We start from the raw sequence: 17,833 nt of genomic DNA, 5'->3' as shown, positions 1-17,833 counted from the left end.
TCTTAAGGGTGAGACTAGGTGGGACCTGTTGTGTATAAGGAGGACAGAGAGCATCTGGGAGTCATAGTGAGCCAATGGTTCATAAATAGTGGTGTAGAATTACAGGAATGAAGCCACATTGCAATCCATGGAGATATGCACTTGATCACTGTTTATCTGCTGATTGCCATGATTTGGGCCCTAAAGCTGGAGTAGGTGTTGGAAAATGTAGAAAGGCTGCAGTTTACTGAAGGGTTGAGGCCAGCAGTCAAGGCCATCGGAGGATTGGGGCCATTTGGCTCACAGAGTGAGGTGGGGAGAACTGGTCCACATGATTGCATGTGCAGTGCTCTGGGTGGGGGGTTGAGGCCAAAGCTTTAGCTTGGGCTCAGCCACTGGCTCGCATCTCAGGTCACTTTAGCTGGTCACATTTCTCAGAGCTTTGGTTTCTGCCTCTGCCCTTACCTCTCAGGACTGTCTTAGCAGTGGCACCAGCAACCTTCCTGCCTTACAAATCTTACAACTTTGGAGTCACTTTTGGGTTTGTCCTACTTTTCTCTTTTCTTTTTTTTTTGGAGACGGAGTTTCACTCTTGTTGCCCAGGCTGGAGTGCAGTGGCACGATCTCGGCTCACCACAACCTCCACCTCCCGGGTTCAAGTGATTCCCCTGCCTCAGCCTCCCGAGTAGCTGGGATTACAGGCATGCGCCACCACACCTGGCTAATTTTGTATTTTTAGTAGAGACGGGGTTTCTCCATGTTGGTCATGCTGCTCTCAAACTCCAGACCTCAGGTGATCCACCTGCCTTGGCCTCCCAAAGTGCTAGGATTACAGGCGTGAGCCACCGCGCCTAGCCTCATTTTTGTTTTTTACGAAGTCCTGTCCATTCTCCTACAGCAGCAGTGCTGTTCCTTTTCCTTCTGGAACTTCACATTTCAATCCAGGGCTCTGACCTGGTCTTGGCATGCTGCCAACTTCTTGCGACAATCTGGCTGCCCACCGAGGTAGAAACCACATCTCTTTCAGCCTTGGTCTGTGGCATATGGTAGTAGGAACAGACAAGAGAAACCAATTTATTGAGGGCTTGCTTTATGCCAGTTTTGTGCTGGACACTTTGCATATTCTCTTCCAAGTCTTCACAATGATGCCGTGTGATTATTGTATCTGATTTATGTGTGAGAAAACCCAGGCTGAGAAGAGTTAAGGGACTTGTAGTCAAGTGGCAGGCTGAGATTTGAAGTCAGGACCACCTGACCACATTTCTTCTGCTTTTTCTGCTGCACTGACCTGTGGTGGAAATATTTCTTGGTAATGTGCCTTCCCTCAGCTATTAAAATAGTTTTCCGGAAGCATCTGTTGGATGACCATTGTGGATACTTGTAGTTACTTCCAGTTGCCTCTTAGGTCAGCACCTTCCGGCCCAAGCTGAGGTCAGTGCTTCCTGCTGGAGGTTGGCTCCTGGCCTTATTTAACACCACTGTTTCCTGTCACTCCACAGCTTGGTCATCTACTCTGCCAAGGAAATGGGCCAGTCTTCATTCTCTGCACTTAGCCAACTGGGGGCTTCCTGGGTCTTGGCTCACCCTGGAGCTGTTAACACCCATTTTCAAGTGGGTTCCTAATGTTTGCTGAGTGAGTTATCAAGTGAAGAAAGAGTGTGGGTTCTTCCCCATCCCCACAAAGGGCCACCACTCACCTCCAGACCCAGTTCCTCATCTGGAAAACCCAAGCTAAGGAAGTCCCTTGCAGCCTGGCGGAGGAACTCTGCTCACTTGGTGCTCTCAACCTGGAGGCGGGGGTTTGTCCCACTTGGAGACCTCGACTTTGCTCATTGCTTCTCCAACCCTGTCGGTACTGTTGCTGCCTTTACACCGGCATAAGCCATGCTGACCCCACAGGTGAGCCTTGGCACATCTTTGGCCTGGAATGTTGTTTTCTCCTTGGAGAAGTGGTCGGTCTGTGGAACCCTGCTCAGGGTGTCTCATCAGTGAAGTTCTGTTCAATTGACATTGGTTGAGCCCTGGGTTGGACATCTTAATCTGTCCCTCGGGGTCCCTCTCACCCTTTTCCACCCTGCCCTGTGCCCCAGGAGGCTGACCTGTATGGACTGCATCAGCGGGCTCCCATTCCTGCAGGGCTGACCACACTCTTCAGTCATATGTCACAGCCCCTCAGGCAGTGCTCTACACTCTTGGGGCCTTGGCGTCAGGGCACTACAGCACCCACTGTACTGGTCCACACCTTTGTAAACAGTCCCTTTGTTAAATTCTCCTCACATTATCCCAATTCAAGTGGCCCCTTGTTGCCTGCTTGGACGCTGACTGATGCAAACATTTACTGTGTGTGCCCAGATGGGCAAAATATGGATCTTGCCCTGGAGAAGCTCTCAGAAGGGAGACAGATCCATGAGCAGTTTCTGCCTCCTGCAGCAGGTGACAGGAGCCCATGTGCTGTGGCAACACTGACCCAGGAGGGTCAGAAAGGCTTCCTGAGGAGATGCCCAGAGCCTGGAAGCTGGACAGTCAGAGTTAGTCAAGTGACAGGCTGAAGTGGGAATACCCTTTCATCCCAGCCAAAACCAGAGGTGTGATGCCGGGTGGGATGTGCCGGGACCTGCCAGCTGTTTGAGGTACCTAGAGGGTTGCAGTGGGGCTGAGGTAGCTGACGGGCCAGGCCAGGGAAGGCTACATAGGTTGCACTAGGTGCTGGGACTTTAACCCTGTCACTGCCCTGCTTTAACTGGCCAGTGGCTCCCCATCCCAGATGGACATTTATTAAGATCACTCAGCTGCTGTGCAAAGAACCCCTCTAAAAGGGTTGGTATGAAGGACCAGGAAGGGAGCAGGGAATTCAGTAAATTCAAGAGATGGCCAGGCGCGGTGGCTCACGCCTGTAATTCCTGCACTTTGGGAGGCCGAGGCGGGTAGATCATCTGAGGTCAGGAGTTTGAGACCAGTCTGGCCAGCGTGGCGAAACTATCTCTACCAAAAATACGAAAATTAGCTGGGCGTGGTGGCATGCACCTGTAATCCCGGCTACTCGGGAGGCTGACACAGGAGAATCGCTTAAACCCGGGAGGCGGAGGTTGAGTGAGCTGAGATCGTGCCACTGCACTCCAGCCTGGGTGACAGAGCAAGACTTCGTCTCAAAAAAAAAAAAAAAAAAAGGAAAACAAAACAAAACAACATAATACTCTGGTAAGGCAAGGCAGGGATGGAGGACAGGAGTTAAGAAAGATTTGAGGGAAAATAGCTATTTAGTAGGTAGAAGTAGCTTGGCATAGAGAAAGGACCATGCTGGGAAACAGGGCAGGGAGTTCAGAAATTCAAGTTAGCACTATCAAATTATCTTGGGATAGGTTATTGAGAGGTGGGCTTTGTATTCAGAGGAACTTCATAGTGAAGGAGAATGGGGTAGGGGGTTGGGGGTGAGCACAGGGCAAGCTGCAGGCTGTTCCTGTGGAGGGGAGCTGGGCCAGCTCAGCTGCTGACTGGTGGAGGCCTGGGCTGAGGCAGGGAGGGGAGATGCCTGCAGCAGCCAATGCACAGCTGGGGGTCTGGTGAGACTGTGTGTGATCTGGGCTACAGGGCTTTCTCTCCTGCTGGCCTGTGCTGCCTCTCGCCCTGCCCTTGTGCTCTGGAGCTGCCCCTCCTCTGAGCCATGTCCAAGAAATAAAGCGCATCCATGCCTCCCTGCACCTGCAGTCTTAAACCTGTTGGGCTACTCAATTGATAAACTTCCCCTGAGGTGGAATAGGCAGGATCTGGTGAAAGTTTGGAGGTGGATGGAGGTGAGGGTACCTTCTAGGGCTCTGACTTGGTGGAATGGATGGGGCTCTTTATGGAGTTCAGGATCTTAGGAGGGGAGAGAGGAGAAGGCAGGGAATTCTTTTCTGCTTGTTTAGTTGCAAGTGTTTTGTTGACAGTACGGTACACCAAACATAAGGTCGGGGGTGAGAATAGAGGGAGAGAGACTTGAGAGGCTTCAGAAATGCACGGTGCTTCTAATCATGAGGTCACCCAACGAGAGGCTGGGGAGAGAGGCGCAGTAAGCCAGGGTGGAGCGCTGGAGAAGCCGATGTTTAGGAGGCAGGTGGGCAGGAAGAAGCTGGGTGGGGAGTCAAGAAGACAGTCAAGGAGATGGGAGGAGGACTGGGGAAGTGGAGTCCTGGAAGCCAGGGAGGTGATGTTCCAAGAGGAAGTGGTCAACCTCAACAGATGAAGTGAGGCCTGTGGAGGGACAGGTGGAGTGGCTACAGGCCATCACTGGTGAAGCAGTGGGGTCAGGCAGCCTGTGGTGGGGTGAGAAGGGGGAAGTGCAGGTGACTTCTGCAAGAAGCTTGGCTGAGAAGGGAAGGAGAGAGATGGGCTGTAACTGGAGGTCGACATAAGGATTTTAGGATGGGAGACACCTGAGCAACTCTTCTTGTAGACAGGTGGTTCTCCCCTTGTTTCGAGGGGGTCTTTGGTAAGAATATGTTGGCACAGTAAGTTACTAAGAGATCAATATCATCAAGAGAAGGCCCACTAGTATGATCTGCATTTTACCCTGAAGGCTGTCCGGTGACGCCCAGACCCAGGGAATTGGGATCAGGCTGCCTGATGGAGAGCCTAGGCTCTGCATGGAGACCCCTGGGGGGACCCCTGGGGCTTATCTGACTTGGACGAAGGTTGATTTGATGGGGAAAGTAAACAACTATTTGATGCCATCCCTGGACTCTATTTCTGACCATCTACTAGAGGCTTTGTGCCCTTCAGATACTGTGGGTGCTGTCAGGGGCTTACAGCAGCAGTGATCACATTCACTAAACACTTCCTAGCCCAGTCCTAAGCATTTTATGTGCCCAGTATAATCTTATCTTCCCAGCGGCCTCATGAGGTAGGTTCTGTCAGCATCACTGGGTTTCGCCCTGTGCTACAGGCACAGGAACCAAAGCTCAGAGAGGTGGGGTAACTTGTCTAAGGTCCCAGGCCTGGGAAACGGTGACGCTGGGCTGCCTAACCGCGCTGCAGTGCCACTGCACCATAGTTGGTGGTTGTTTGTGAGTGGAAGTCGGGGTGGGGGTCAGTGGTGACTGATAGAAGGAGACCCCAGCAGAGCAGGAAGCAGGAGAATCTGAGCAAGTGAAAGGGCACCTCATTCCCTGAGCGTGGTGGGGGGACTGGGTGCTCAGAGAGGTAAGCTTGTATGTTAGTTGGGAAAGGGGGGTTGTCTACTGGGAGTGAGGGGAAGGGTGGGAGGGGAAAGGTGGGGCCAGCTGCCAGAGGGAAGGTGAGGATGGAGAAAGGGTTATCAGTGTACTGAGGGCGCTACGCCCCGTGATCTCCCCCGACAGAGAAGAGTTCTGTCCAGCATTGCTTGGTGGCCAAGTGAGGGAGGAGAGAAGGTGGCTGGAGATATTTTGGGTCTGAGTCTGCAGGGCAGGGTAGGGGATGTGGCCCCTCTCAAAGGGTTTGCTGCCCAGGACAGGGTCAACTATGCCTTTCTCCACGATTTCTGGTCTTGAGCACAGCTCTTCCTGGGTGCCCTGTACAGGGCTCTACTCACTGAAGTGCCACCGACTCCAGGGGTGTGTCGTGTCTGACCTTGGTGGAGGGCAAGGAATGTGTCTTTTTGTATCCCCAGTGCCTAGAACAATGCTGGCACCTGGAAATATTGCTTGAACCTAACTGTCTTGTTTTTGTCTTCCTGTGAGTTCAAGGACAGGAGCAGTGCTTAACACACAGTAGGTAATGGAATATTTGTTCCAGCAGCCTGGACACTCAAGGGGAGAAGCCAGGGCTGCTGCTGCCTCTCTGGAAACCCTGTCTTCCCTTTGGTTTCTGCCTCTCCCAACCCACGTGTACACACATACACATGCCAACACATACACACTCAGACACAGGCTCATACTCAGACATGCATACTCATTCACACACTTAACATATATGAGCACACAACACATGCACACTTGCATGCACACACTATTTTAGTCAGAGCTGCTCCTGCAGAGTCTCTCCAGTCCCAGGGCCTGTCCTGCAGCCTCCTAGTGGCACTGCTGTGGTATGACCTGGAGAGCCTGGACAAGGACTCTTCTCAGTGTATTCACTCCTAATTTGTCCATGACAGATTTAGGCTCAGAGCTCAAGGGGGTTGCAGACTCTGGGTGAGCCTTTGTCCCTGCCCTTGAGAAGGTCCCAGTTGCCTAAAGCTCTTGGCCAGAACTTAAGGAAACCAAGGGCACAGGTGCATAGCAGTACCTACTGTGCCTGCTAGATGCTTGGCGCAAGGGATTTTGTTTACTCCTTACAACAACTCTATGAAGCAGGTTTTACTCACCTCAGTTTGTGTTGTGGACACTGAAGCTTGGTTGTTAATTAATTGCCCCAAATTGCATAGTAATGGATGGAGCCAGGATTTAGGCCTGGGTCTGACTCCAGAGGTCCTTTCTTTCAGCACTAGATGGAATCCTTGTTGGCAGAACAAGGGGGAGAAGAGGCTTTATGTTGCCCAGCTTGTCCTTTTGAGCACATAACATCGTATATGAGCCAGAACATAAAGGTATGAAAGTTAATACAGGTCGGTACTTCTTAGCTTTTATGGGCCCTTCGAAAACCTGAAACTTGCTAAGGGTTGTGGACCCTTTCCCCAGATAGTGCATATATGCAGAGGCATACATAGGTTACTCTGGGTACAATTTCAGGGATTTGAGGTCCCCCTGAAACCTCCAGTGGTTCCCAAGTTGAGAACCCCTGTGAGAGGTGTTTGCTAACAATGTGACAGATGAGAAGAGATGACTGTCCATGCCCTGCACAGAGCACATACCACAGTGCCCAGAGAGGTCTGTACATACTCGTTTCAGCCTGTTTTTAATAGAATTGGAAACAATCTGAATAGCCATCAGTAGGGGCCTGGGTAAATAAGCAAAGTCCATGTGTGCCATGGAGTAGCACACAACTGTTCCAAGAAAGGATGGTGTAGGTATAGATAGATGTAGCTCTCCAAGACATATTGTTGAATGGAAAAAAGCCTGTTGAAGAGTGATATACCTCACACATTATTGTGGGTTTTTTGTTTTTTTTTTTTTTTAAGACAGGGTCTCACTCTGTCACCCAGGCTGGAGTGCAGTGGTGCAATCTCAGCTCACTTCTGCCTCCATACGCCGGGTTCAAGGTGTCTCAACCTCCTGCATAGCTGGGATCACAGGCCACCATGCCCAGATAATTTTTGTGTTTTTAGTAGAGACGCGTTTTCGCCATGTTGACCAGGCCGGTCCCGAACTCCTGGTCTCAAGTGATTCACCCGCCTCGTTCTCCCAAAGTGCCGGGATTACAAGCATGAACCACTGTGCCCGGCCCCACACACATTATTTATGTAAAATCACTTAACAACGTTATTTCCTACAAATACAGAAAAATTTATGGGACTGGGTGCAGTGGCTCACACCTATAATCCCAGCACTTTGGGAGGCTGAGGTGGGTGGTCACTCGAGACCAGGAGTTCGAGACCAGCCTGGCCAACATGGTGAAACCCCGTCTCTACTAAAAATACAAAAATTAGCTGGGCCTGGTGGTGTGCACCTGTAATCCCAGCCACTTGGGAGGCTGAGCATGAAGATCACCTGAACCTGGGAGGCAGAGGTTGTGGTGAGCTGTGATATCACACCACTACATTCCCTGCACTCCAGCCTGGGCACCAGAGCAAGATACCCTGTCTCAAAAAAAAAAAAAAAAAAAGGCAAAAAAGCACAAGAATGATACCCAAGACAGTGCTAATAGTGGGAGTTCCTTTGGGGAGGAGGGAGGTAGAAGGTTCCTGGTCAAAGGTGACACAGCTCTGTAGTGCTTTAATTTTTTAATAAAGAGACTATATCCCTCTATTATTTGTGTACTTAAAATCACAAATAATTTTAAAATGCAATGCACATACCATGTGTATGGGGGAATGAGGGCAAGAGGAAGGGATTCTGAAGGAGGTGGTGTGGGGTAGAGCTTTTATATCAGACAAGCCTGTATTCCAGTCCTGACCTTGACAATTACCTGCCAGTGACTTCAGGCAAGTCACCTTACTCTCTGAGTCTCAGCCTCCTCATTTGAGAAGTCAGGATGACAATGTCTGCCTTCCAGGGCTCTTGTGTGGATATGGAGTAGGCCGTAGAATTCTTGGCACATAGTAGGTGCTCAGCGTATCAATCATAGCCATTATTGTTATTTCAAATTTCAGCCAAAAATAATCACTTGAGCTCTTAGTAGGTGACAGTTGGATTAAGGACATTGGGACTGTATCTGGTTCAATCAGGGATGACTTCCTGGGGGAGGAGGGGCTTGAGCTACTTAAATATATGTGGGAAGTGGGGCAGCATTGAGTTAGAGAGAGGGCTGTGTGCAGAGGCCAGGGAGGGATTATGCCTGTGTGCCTATTATTAGTAATGATATTACTTATTTCCATATTATAGACAAAGAGGGAGAGTCCAAGTAACTTGTCCACAGACACATAGCTAGTAAGTGTAGGGTGTTCACATGGAAGGGATGGGCAGAGGAAGAGAAATGGGAAAATGCAGGAAACTGGGATAGTTCTGTGGGAGGAGAAGGGAGAAAAAGAATGGGCTTTGTAATCAGAAAGGCTCCTGAAGAGAGGGATGTGGGGGATTTAACAGGCCAGCCATTGCCCTTTACTTAAAAAAAAAAATGCCCAGGGGAGATGTAGGACCTTAAGGTCTTACCTTTGCAAGACGCTCTTGACAGAGGCCACTGGCTCTCCATCTCCCTTGGGCCCAAGCAGAAAGGATTGGGGCCCCTCCCCACAGGAAGGGGTGCTAGGCTGACTAGTCCTAGGAGGCTGGGCGTCTTTTCCCCAGGAACCCTCCAAGAACTGGGTGGGTTGAGAGCTGGCTGGCAGTACTGTGCCAAATGAAGTCGCTGCATGCCCTGTAACCTGGCAATTCCGCTTCTTAGGTTTTCAGGCCGAGCCGTAACGGTTCCTGTCAAGGACGGTCATGGCAGGGTTGCTGGGGTGTTGGAGGGAACTTGGGTGCCTGTCGCCCTCAGAGTGGGTAAATAAATGTGGAAGGTGCCCACCAGAAACTAAATGTGCTCACAGCAACATGAATGAGGTTTAAAAATACAGTGCTGAGCGAAAACAATTAAGAAATATATCTATAATGTGTGTGTGTGTTTTTTATATATATATATATATATATATATATATATATTACTAATTGTGAAACTAAAAAATACATGCACTTGTTTTGCAAGGACACATACAAATGGTTGGCTATGGGTTAGGATGAGGAATGAGAATAAAAATGAGATAAATGCAGAGTGTGGTGAAATCCAGTTCCTCTGCAGGTGGAAAGGGTGGCCAAGCGGTCAACCCACATTTCTGTGCACATTGTGCCATCTAGTGGGCAAAGGGGCGTTCAGCTGCCCTGGTCCTGGAGCTGGTGCAACTATGGCACCATGACATCCTGGGCAGGTGCTGCCTCAGCTGGGCCCCCAGAGCAGAGGTGAGAGGTGAGTGCTGCCTGTCAAGTGGGGGCCAGGCACAGCCTGCTGTAGGCCTGGCCAGTGGGGCTGGTAGCCATTTCTGTTGCAGCAGGGAGGAGGGTTCAGACAGGCCTGCCTGCCTCCAGGAGCTGTCTGATGTCAGGGCTGGCTCTTCACCGCCTGCTATGGCAGGCAGGCAGGTGGTTCCTGAGAAGGGAGTGGCTGAGACTCTGATGCCAGATTTTCACATGTAGCCCTCCCTTCTGGCAGGAAAGAGAGCATCTGGCAGGATCATTGTGAAAGCAAAGAGGAGAGAGGAGAGCAGGTAGAGACACTCAGAGTCTAGAGAGAGCAATGACTACCTTGAGGTGGAGTACGGAGGACAGACCCTGGCACCAGACTGCCAGGGTTCACATCCCTTGGGCAAGTCCCCTGTGCATCAGTTTCCCCTCCTTGGAATGTAATAGTACGTACCTTGTAGGGTTGAAGTGAGTCAAAATAAGGCACTTAAAACAGGTCCCCTTTCCGGGTCAGGGCTGTGTAAGTGTTGTCCACTCTCAGTATCTGAGGTTCACCCAACTCCTGTAAAGCCAGCACCCTGCTCTCATCCTTCATGAGAGTCATGGGGCATGAACAGAATGCCCTGGGCTGATGGGGGTCACTGCAGCAGGGCCTGGGGCTATAGGCTAGGAAGGGACTCCAGCCATGGACCCAGGCCAAACTGTGGAGGGAGGTGGGGTGAAGCAGGGCGGGGCCTGGGGCTGGGGACACTGCATTCTTTTTTTGTTTTTTGAGACGGAGTTTCGCTCTCGTCACCCAGATTGGAGTGCAATGGCGCCATCTCGGGTTCAAGCGATTCTCCTGCCTCAGCCTCCCAAGTAGCTGGGATTACGGGCTCCTCCCACCACGCCCAGCTAATTTTTTGTATTTTTAGTAGAGACAGGGTTTCACCATGCTGGCCAGGCTGGTCTCGAACTCCTGACCTCAGGTGATCCGCCAACCTTGGCCTCCCAAAGTACTGGGATTTTACAGGCATGAGCCACCACGCCCAGCTGGACACCCCATTCTTGGGGTCTGTAAAAATACTTTCTTGGCCGGGTGTGGTAGCTCATTCCTGTAATCCTAGCACTTTGGGAGGCTAAGGAGGGTGGGTCACCTGAGATCAGGAGTTCGAGACCAGCTGGCCAACATGGTGAAAACCTGTCTCTACTAAAAATACAAAAATTAGCTGGGTGTGGTGGCACACGCCTGTAGTTTCAGCTACTCAGGAGGCTGAGGCAGGAAAATCGCTTGAACTCGGGAGGCAGAGGTTGCAGTGAGCCAAGATCGCACCATTGCACTCCAGCCTGGGCAACAAGAGTGAAACTCCTTCTCAGTCTTGGTTACCTCTGGGGCTTGACGGGCCCTGTCCTGCCCCACCTCTCTCTACAGCCTCTGGCCATTTATTTTAGCTGCCCCTCCCCACACACCAGCCTCTCCAGGCCCCTGCATCACAGTCATCTTTCTAAAGCACAGTACAGCTCAGCCTGTTGAAGAACCTGCCTTGGCTCCTCGTTGCCCAGAAATTCAATGTAGACATCCTTGGTAGGCATTCAGGGTCCCTTCTGGTCTGGCCCACCCTGCCTTCCACGCCCATCTCCCGCCAGTTCTACTCTCAGCAACTCCATTGCCTCTCAGCTCCCACCAGGCCTCATGTTCCACATCCCTGGCCTTGCTCAAGTTATTCTCCTTGTTTTGAGCGCTCGTCCTCCCCACTTTTCCACCTGGCAAAATCCTCCTCATTCTTAGGGACCCAGTTAGTTCCTCCATGAAGACTTCCCCGGCAAACTGTGTCCCCCCACCCCAGGCTTCTGTCATAAACCACTTGTCATTAATCACTTAACAGTTATCACATTTTGTCACAGCCAGCCAGTTCCTGTTCAGTGAGTAGAGGAAAGAAAACATGGACTTTGTTACCAGACTATATGATGGAATCTCAGCTTGGCTACTCACCAGCTATGCGACCCTGGGCAAGTTACTTAACCTCTGAGCTTTGGTTTTCTCATCTACTAAATGGGGATAATGCTCATATTTAACCCGGATTCCTCACCAGGCCTGCAAAGCCTTGCCTGCCTCCTGTCTCCTGTTGCTCTCCACATCTCACCCACATCAACGTCCCTGCCCCTCCTTGAACATTCTCAGTCCTTTCTTGCGTCCCTGCCTTTGCACCTGCCCTTCTCTACCTGGAATGTTTCCTTCTCATTCCATTCTCCACCTCATTTCCAATGTCACCTCCTCAGAGAGGCCCTCTGCAACCACCTTCTCTAAATCCCCCGCCTGGTTTTGCTTCATCTTACTTTCTGTTTATTTTCTTCTAGGGCTTATCCCAACCTGAAATTTCCCTACTTTCTGGCTTGCTTGTCAGCTCCGTGAGTGTGGGGCTCTTTTCTCTGGGAACTCAGAAGATGAACAGACTTGATACGTGTTAGTCCTGGCCTCTCCTCTTCCTCCAAGCCACACCTGCTCATCTGTGAGCCCCTTCAGGGCAGGGCATCATGTCCTCCTCATTTTTGCTTTCTTGACCCTGAGCAGTATGCCTGGTCCATAGTGAACCCTTAGCCTGTATTTGCTGCCTGCCTGCCTGTCATTGTCTTCCCCAACCTTTTCCCTTAGCAGCCCTTGGTGATCTCCTGATGGTTTCTAACACATGCTGCAGGTTACATGTGGAGCTGAGCCTGATATCTCCCAGAGTGGGAATGTCCAGGGGTGGCCTCATGTTTCTGCCACTTACTTTGCTTTCCAGCCCAGGACAGGATTTTGAGTGGAGAGTTTGGGGTATATTACTGGCTGTAGCATTAGGGACCTTGGCCACGCCCTTTGCATTACCCTGCGTGGTAGGACAATACCTAGAATGGTCTGGTCAAACCCGAGAGACTTACAGAAGGTCAAGAGGACACAGCGATGCTCATAGGCCCCTCTCAGTGGGGAGATTGGGCTGTGACTTGTTCAGGCGGAGTGGGGTCCACACAGTCTGATGAAGCTTCATTTGGTTCAGAGGAAAATTGCTCTCTGAACACAGACCATCCCTTCTTTTTTTTTTTTTTTTTTTTTTTGAGATGGAGTTTTGCTCTTGTTGCCCAGGTTGGAGTGCAGTGGCATGATCTCGGCTCACCACAACCTCTGCCTCCTGGGTTCAAGTGATTCTCCTGCCTCGGCCTCCCGAGTAGCTGGGATTACAGGCATGCGCCACCATGGCTGGCTAATTTTTTGTAATTTTAGTAGAGACGGGGTTTCTCCGTGTTGGTCAGGCTGGTCTTGAACTCCTGATCTCAGGTGACCCACCCTCCTTGGCCTCCCAAAGTGCTGGGGTTATAGGTGTGAGCCACTGCGCCCGGACTCCATCCCTTCTTAAGCTGACCCAGGGGTCTGGTAATTGAGTGAGTGTGATGGCTCAATGTTACCCACCTCCTCTGGCATCAGGATGTAGGGACCAGTCCGTTGGTATGCAGAGGTTGTGGTACCCAGCCTGGCATCAGCGATGCTGGGAAGAGGGAATGCTGTTGCCTGTCTGCTGCTGTGGGAATGACAGAGAGGGCTGGAAGGAGTGGCCTGGCAGGGATGGACCCCAGGGCCCGTGCCTTCCTTGTGCTCACTGAGCAAATGAAGCAGGATTCACTCCCTGCTGGGAGAGGGAGATTAGGGTTAGGGAGCACAGTGTTGTGCTCTCAGATTTGAGGATTTATCAATAAAAATTCAAAAAGTCATTTTGGGAACTGGCATAAAGGTTCGTGGCATCTTATTTTGTCAAGTAAGGACACAGGATAGGTAAAAAATTAGTTTCCTACTATTGTATCCTAAAAAATGAATATTTTAATACCAAAAATTGAAAACAAGAATAGTTCTTCCCTAGAAAGGCCGAACAGCATTCTTATGCTGACATTTTGAGCTATGGACAGGGGAGAACAAGGTCAGAAACCAGCTCCTGGGAATTGTTGGGTAAGGAGTTTGGAGAGCGTGTGCGTGTGAAGGGAGATAGTGTTGAAGCAGGTTGCTGGCCTGGTGGCATGATTGGAGGGAAAGGGCCTGAATATTTCCTGGATTAGTCCAGAATATTTCCTGGATTAGTTTAGAAATTCTTCAGTCCCCTCTATCACTTAGGCTTCCTGTGGATTAACTCGTTTTCTCTTTGAAAGTGTAAACATCCCATGGGCAGGGTCCATCAGAGAACCTCGACAAGTGTTGCTCTGTGTACAACCTCCCGGGAGGGTGTCTGTACAGGTGAAATCTGGCTGGGATAAATGTCAAGGACATGTGTGGGGAAAGGAGAGGGAGGAAAGAAACCAACCCTTGCTGGTCCTTACTGTGTTCCTGCACTACACTTAGGGCTTTTTCATGAGTTAACAAAGAGCTGCTGCTTATCTCCATTTTACAGATGAGAAAACTGAGGCCCAGAAAGACTCAGTGATTTGCCCAAGGTCACACAGCCAGTGTTGGAACCAGCATTTACATTCAGGCCTATGTGAACTCAAGTTCAGAGCTTTTATTTCTCCAGCAGGCCAAGGCACAAAAAATTTTAAAAACAACTTGAGTCCCATCTTCCTGTTGGCATAGTGTCTGGCAGACATCTTTTTGATTCGTTCTGTCCATCTGGAAACACTGTGGCTGACTCTGTGTTGGCAGCTCCCAGGCCCTTGGAGGGGAGGTTCAAAACTCACATTTTTTTTTAACTTAAGAGAATTCTGGCAGAGTACACATAAAAGTTGCCATTTTAACCATTTTAAAATGTTTTATTTATTTAGGAGACAGTCTCACTCTGTCACCCAGGCTGCAGTGTAGTGGTGCAATCTCGGCTCACTGCAACCTCTGCCTCCTGTGTTCAAGTGATTCTCCTGTCTCAGCCTCGCAAGTAGCTGGGATTACAGGTGTGTGCCAACACGCCTGCCTAATTTTTTGTGTTTTTAGTAGAGATGGGGTCTCACCATGTTGCCCAGGCTGGTCACAAACTCCTGAGCTCAGGCAATCCGCCCACCTTGGCCTCCCAAAGTTCTGGGATTACAGGCGTGAGCCCTGCACCTGGCCTTAAAAAGTGTATAATTTAGCAGCATTTAGTACATTGAAAATGCTGTGCAGGCTGGGCACGGTGGCTCATGCCTGTAATCCCAACACTTTGGGAGGCTGAGGCGGGTGGATTGCTTGAGCCCAGGAGTTCAAAACCAGCCTGGGCAACATGGGGAGACCCTGTATCTACAAAAAAAAAATACAAAAATGAGTTCTTGTGATGGTGTGCCCATGTAGTTAGCTACTTGGGAGGCTGAGGTGGGAGGACTGCTTGAGCTCAGGAGGTTGAGGCTGTGGTGAGCGGAGATCATGCCACTGTACTCCAACCTGGGTGACAGAGTGAGACCCTATCTCAAAAAAAAAAAGAAAAGAAAAGAAAAAAAAAGAAAATGCTTCTTGACTGTCACCACCCCCCAGTTCCACACCGCTCCTCAGTCCCTGACTCCCAGCCCCTGGCAGCCAGCAATCTGCATTCTGTCTCTAAAAATCTCCCCATTCTGAACATTTCCTATAAATGGGATTGTACACTATATGGCCTTTTGTGTCTGGCTTCTTCTACTCAGCATAATGTTTTCAAGGTTCATCCATGTTGTAGCATGTGTCGGTATTTTGTTTCTTTTTATGAGACTGAATAATATTCCATTGTATGGATATACCCACATTTTGTTTATCCATTCATCAGTGGTGGACATAGGGGTTGTTTCCACTGTTGGGGTTGTGAATAGTGCTGCTGTGAACATTCTTGTGCAAGCTTTTGTCTGAACAAGTGTATTTAATTTGTTTTAGTCTATACTAAGAGTGGAATTTCAGGGTCCTGTCGTGCTTCTGTGTTTAGCTTAAGGTGGAACTGCCAAACTTCCACGGCAGCTGTACCCTTTTACATTCCCACTAGCAATGTGTGAGGGATCTCATTTCTCCACATCTTCACCAACACTTATATTTCATTAAAGATTTTTTATTATAACCACCCTAGTGGGTGTGAAATGATAGCTCATTGTGGTTTTTATTTGCATTTCTTAATGACATCAATCATCTTTGCCCTTCACTCTTTGGGGGGTCACAGGAAGGCCTCTCTATGCTATGCCTCCATGCCTCAGAGTCATCTGTCTAGGGGTGGTGTGAGGGTTAAATGAGAAAATCATGTGAAGAACTCAGCATCTACGCCAGGCACATAGTAGGGGCTCTTAAGACCAACTCAGGCAGTCCCAGGCCTGCCCCTGTCAGCTGGTAGGGAGGCTGGCCACTCAAAGGACCTCCCGGCTCTGACCAACGCGTAAGTTAGAGCTGCTCCCACGGCCTGGCAGTCCCCTCTGCCCACTCTGCCTCCACTGTCCTGGACTTCCTGGGGAACTGTGATCTTTCAGAGGCTGGGATGACATTTATGGAAGGTGGCAGGTCCCCTCCAGCCCTTTTCCATTTTCATGGACCCTCCTGGCCCCTGGGTGCCTTCCCTTCTAGGTGGTCTCTCAGCACTGCCCTCTGCTACTGGAGCATGATGGGAAGTGCCTGGAAATCTATCCCCTCCATGGTGGCCCTTAGCCAATGACTGAGGTGCAGGAGAGTGAGGTCCCAGCTCCCTTGCCTGGGGCGAGGACAACCCTGAGGTGTAATTTACACTCCCAAGTTCCCCTGCGAGATCAGGCAGAAGTCACCCTCTGCAGAATTTTGCCTGAATCTGCACCCTTCTTGGCCTCTTACTTTCTTGTCTTGCTCCCCGAGTCCCTCTCCAGTTTCCCTGGGAGCACTCCCAAATCATTTAGCTATGAATCCTCATCTCAGGATCTGCTTCTGGGGAACCTGATCTAAGACATGGAGCACCTACTGTGTGCCAAGCCCATGGCAAATGCTCAAATAGACAAAGATAAATAAGATGCAGTTCCTTCCCCCAAAAGAGCGCATGACTTGGTTGGGGTGGTCCTGATCACAGTAGTAATGCTAATAGCCCATGTTGTGCACCTTCTATGTGCCAGGCCCTAGGCTGAATGCTTTACATACATTAGTTCATTTAAACTTTCTAGCTTTTTCCGGTTCTAGGTGCTTTAGCAGCTGCGGCTTAAGGTGCAGACATGGCAACGTCAAGAACCACAACACACACAACCAGTCCCCAAAATGGCACAGAAATGGCATCAGGAAACCCCGATCACAAAGATACAAATGTCTTAATGGGGTGGACCTCAAGTTCCTAAGGAGCATGCACCTTGCCAAGAAGCACAACAAGAAGGGCCTAAAAAAGATGCAGGCCAACAATGCCGAGGCCATGAGGGCACGTGCTGAGGCTATCAAGGTCCTCGAAAGCCCAAGGAGGTTAAGCCCAAGATCCCAAAGGGTGTCAGCCGCAAGCTCGATTGACTTGCCTACATTGCCCACCCCAAGCTTGGGAAGCGTGCTCGTGCCTGCATTGCCAAGGGGCTCAGGCTGTGCCGGCCAAAGGCCAAGGCCAAGGACCAAACCAAGGCCCAGGCTGCAGCTCCAGCTTCAGTTCTAGCTCAGGCTCCCAAAGCTGTCCAGGCCCCTACAAAGGTTTCAGAGTAGAGATCTCTGTCCGCCAACATAAGGACAGAAGGACTAGTATGACCCCCCTGGGCTGCCATCTGCATGGGGCTGGTGTCCTCCTCTGCCATTTGTACAAATAAACCTGAGGCAGGAAAACAAAAAAAAAAGCAAAACAAAAAACAAAAAACAAACTTCTAACAACTTTGCAAGGAGATGCTATTATCACCCCACTTTACGGATGGGAAAACTGAGGCCCAGAGAGGTGAACTAATCTGTGGTCCAGGGTTTTACAGCTTGGAAGTGGCAGCACCCACCCTGAGACCTGTGCTCTTATCCACTCCTCTTTCAGCATGTTTCAGCTGGGAGCGGATGCCCCAGCTGCTTGCATTCAGTAGACCAAAGAGATTCTCCAGGGCCTTGCTGTGACTGGTTGTAAGGGTGTTTCATGACTACTTTGTTGCCGATCTTGGATAACTTTCTTTTGTTTTTTTGAGACAGGGTCTCACTCTGTTGCCTAGGCTGGAGTGGCTGGAGTACAGTGGCACAATCTCGGCTCACTGCAACCTCTGCCTCCCTGGCTCAAGCAATCCTCCCACCTCAGCCTCCTGAGTAGCTGGGACCACAAGTGTGCCACGATGCCCTGCTAATTTTTTTTGTATATATATTTTTGAGCCACTGCACTTGGCCCAGATCTTGGTTAACTTTTTATGAGTGATTTAAATGAAGAAGGAGGCTGGGCACGGTGGCTCATGCCTGTAATCCCAGCACTTTGGGAGGCAGAGGCAGGCGGATTGCTTGAGGCCAGGAGTTTGAGACCAGCCTGAGCAACATGGAGAAACCCCATCTCTACAAAAAATAC

General features: G+C 50.2%; 1 pseudogene, besides 7 other annotated features; it reads left to right on the top strand.

Annotated features, from left to right (window-relative positions):
* Nucleotides 1,691–1,860: an enhancer, noted in NCBI's record as "experimental_91802 CRE fragment used in MPRA reporter constructs". NCBI's record gives its function as "activates a minimal promoter by MPRAs in K562 erythroleukemia cells, with activity observed for the non-introgressed 6:44072217 variant allele {active_cell/tissue: K562}" and the evidence as "EXISTENCE:reporter gene assay evidence [ECO:0000049][PMID:34662402]".
* Nucleotides 2,963–3,511: an enhancer, noted in NCBI's record as "H3K4me1 hESC enhancer chr6:44070481-44071029 (GRCh37/hg19 assembly coordinates)". NCBI's record gives its function as "activates a minimal SCP1, AML or CMV promoter by ChIP-STARR-seq in naive H9 embryonic stem cells {active_cell/tissue: H9 hESC(naive)}" and the evidence as "EXISTENCE:reporter gene assay evidence [ECO:0000049][PMID:30033119]".
* Nucleotides 3,512–4,061: an enhancer, noted in NCBI's record as "H3K4me1 hESC enhancer chr6:44069931-44070480 (GRCh37/hg19 assembly coordinates)". NCBI's record gives its function as "activates a minimal SCP1, AML or CMV promoter by ChIP-STARR-seq in naive H9 embryonic stem cells {active_cell/tissue: H9 hESC(naive)}" and the evidence as "EXISTENCE:reporter gene assay evidence [ECO:0000049][PMID:30033119]".
* Nucleotides 5,849–6,143: a silencer, noted in NCBI's record as "tiled region #15428; K562 Repressive non-DNase unmatched - State 25:Art". NCBI's record gives its function as "represses a minimal TATA promoter and a strong SV40 promoter by Sharpr-MPRA in K562 cells {active_cell/tissue: K562}" and the evidence as "EXISTENCE:reporter gene assay evidence [ECO:0000049][PMID:27701403]".
* Nucleotides 7,049–7,218: an enhancer, noted in NCBI's record as "experimental_91788 CRE fragment used in MPRA reporter constructs". NCBI's record gives its function as "activates a minimal promoter by MPRAs in K562 erythroleukemia cells, with activity observed for both the introgressed and non-introgressed 6:44066859 variant alleles {active_cell/tissue: K562}" and the evidence as "EXISTENCE:reporter gene assay evidence [ECO:0000049][PMID:34662402]".
* Nucleotides 9,209–9,503: a silencer, noted in NCBI's record as "tiled region #9341; K562 Repressive non-DNase unmatched - State 25:Art". NCBI's record gives its function as "represses a minimal TATA promoter and a strong SV40 promoter by Sharpr-MPRA in K562 cells {active_cell/tissue: K562}" and the evidence as "EXISTENCE:reporter gene assay evidence [ECO:0000049][PMID:27701403]".
* Nucleotides 9,262–9,431: a silencer, noted in NCBI's record as "silent region_17249". NCBI's record gives its function as "represses an Ori minimal core promoter by ATAC-STARR-seq in GM12878 lymphoblastoid cells {active_cell/tissue: GM12878}" and the evidence as "EXISTENCE:reporter gene assay evidence [ECO:0000049][PMID:35858748]".
* RPL29P16 (ribosomal protein L29 pseudogene 16) lies at nucleotides 16,504–17,127 on the top strand (annotated as a pseudogene).

The sequence above is a fragment of the Homo sapiens genome, chromosome 6 (assembly GCF_000001405.40).
Source record: "Homo sapiens chromosome 6, GRCh38.p14 Primary Assembly".
NCBI lineage: Eukaryota > Metazoa > Chordata > Mammalia > Primates > Hominidae > Homo > Homo sapiens.
This window is presented reverse-complemented; position numbering and strand designations above follow the sequence as displayed.